The 2018-nt window shown below is 46.9% G+C and overlaps 1 annotated feature.

The window, feature by feature from the left end:
- Positions 833-1332: an enhancer, noted in NCBI's record as "H3K4me1 hESC enhancer chr3:26159333-26159832 (GRCh37/hg19 assembly coordinates)". NCBI's record gives its function as "activates a minimal SCP1, AML or CMV promoter by ChIP-STARR-seq in naive H9 embryonic stem cells {active_cell/tissue: H9 hESC(naive)}" and the evidence as "EXISTENCE:reporter gene assay evidence [ECO:0000049][PMID:30033119]".

Here is a 2018-nt window from a genome sequence, read left to right on the forward strand (position 1 = left end):
TGTGTTACCTGTGCCTTTGTTGTTATATCCAAGAAATCACTGACAAATGTAATGATATGAAGCTTTTGCTGTATGTTTTCTTCTAAGACTTTTATAGTTTTAGGTCTTTGACCAAATCTGAGTTAATTTTGGTATATGATGTTAGGCAATAAGATGTTATTCTTCTGCATGTGGATATCCAATTTCTCAGCACCATTTGTTGTAAAGGCTGTCCTTTCTCCATTGAATGGTCTTGGCAATCTTGACAAAAATCATTAGAGACTTTTTAACAAGATGGCCAACTAGATGCAACTGGGAAGTGCTGACTCCACTGAAAGAGACGAATATTTTGACTAAACCAACATAATTTGAACAGATTTTTGGAGAGAAAATACTGAGACTGGATGCAGAAGTGACATAGAAGCTGAGACTGAAGAGAGAGAAAGCTGGGAACCCTGGGCATGGTGCTCGAATGCTAGAGTTGGTTCCCACCTCCAAATGGCTCTTGGGGAAGGGGTGAGTGAAGGGACTGTGGGACCGCCCACTGTTGCTGTGTACCTCTAGGGATCCTAGCTGCAGGGGACCCCACATCACACATGGACAGTTGAGTTGGCAGGGGGATCTTCCCAGATAGTAGATGGAAGTGGGCCTTAAGCCAGTAGGGAGCCAGGGGCCTCCGTACACAGGACAGCTCTGTCGGCCATATCCCAGGGCTCCCCATCTTCCTCCAAGAGACTCTGGCCCCGTTTAACTGTGGCCAGGAGGAAGTGGAGCTGACTTCCCTGTAGGTCTGCCTGCCTGCCAGTCCTTCCCAGGCCCCCTGCCTGGCCACCAACCAGGAGACTATACATAATACAGCCTCGATGACCAACCTGGGTACTTTGCTCCATCTGAGTGCATTCCCAGCAGCCTGGGAGCACTTCAAATCCCCCAGCACACCTGGAACCCAACCCAGAGGGTGGGGATGATGGAGCCACAGGCCAGTCCTGGCAGCCCAGGGCTGCCATGCACCACTTGGGATTGCTAAGCCTGGGGTCCACTCGAGTTGGGGAGGAGCTTACCCTCTCAGAGCACTGAGAGGGAAGAGACGTAGGTTTGTGGGATAGTGTGGGACCAGGGTGTTTCTCCCTCCACAGGGCCAGTTTGGAAAGGATGTGATCTATCTCCCTGCTGTGGCTTCTGCCTGAAGGACTCCAGCAGCCTGGAACACCTAACAAAAGAAACACGGGCACAGTGCAGTGATCAGAGAGGGAGGCTCTCCCAAGGCCCAGGAATGGACCTGGTAAGGGAGAAACCTTCCTCTCCAACCCTCTACCCAGCACCTCTCCCCACCCCCCAATTGCAGAGCACAGCTGCAAACTTGAGGAAATGCAAAGGAGCTGCGTGGCTCAAAGCTTATCTACTGCTCTTTACTCTTAAGCACCATCTACTGGGTCACAGCCCAAACTACAACACAAGAGATATTTTGCTAATATACCCCCCTGTGAAACCAAGGGCAAGAATTTGGCCACAAAGACCCTGTACAGAGCTTTTGACCTCTGAAAACATACAGAAATGAAGCCAACAACTTACATCACAATTAAAGGAACAACAGCCCTCCAAGATGAGAAAGAATCAGTGCAAGAACTCTGGAAATTCAAAAAGCCAGTCCCCTTATCACTAAACAAGTCCATTAGCTCCATAGCAATTGTTCTTAACCAGTCTGAAATGACTGAAATGACAGATATGGAATTGAGAACCTGGATGGCAAGGAAGCTCACTGAGGTTCAGGAGAGATTTGAAACCCAATCCAAGGAATCCAAAGAATCCAGTAAAACAACCTAAGAGCTGAAAGACAAAATAACCATTTTAAGCAATAACGAAACTGAAATTCTAGAGCTGAAAACTAGAAAAATAATTGCATAGAAACAAGAATTCCATAATATAATCGAAGTATTAATAGCAGAGTAGATCAAGCTGAAGAAAGAATCTCAGGGCTCAAAGACCAGTTCCTCAACTCAGTCAGACAAAAAATGAAGAAGAAGAAGAAAAAGAACATA

The sequence above is a fragment of the Homo sapiens genome, chromosome 3 (genome assembly GCF_000001405.40).
Source record: "Homo sapiens chromosome 3, GRCh38.p14 Primary Assembly".
NCBI classification, from domain to species: domain Eukaryota; kingdom Metazoa; phylum Chordata; class Mammalia; order Primates; family Hominidae; genus Homo; species Homo sapiens.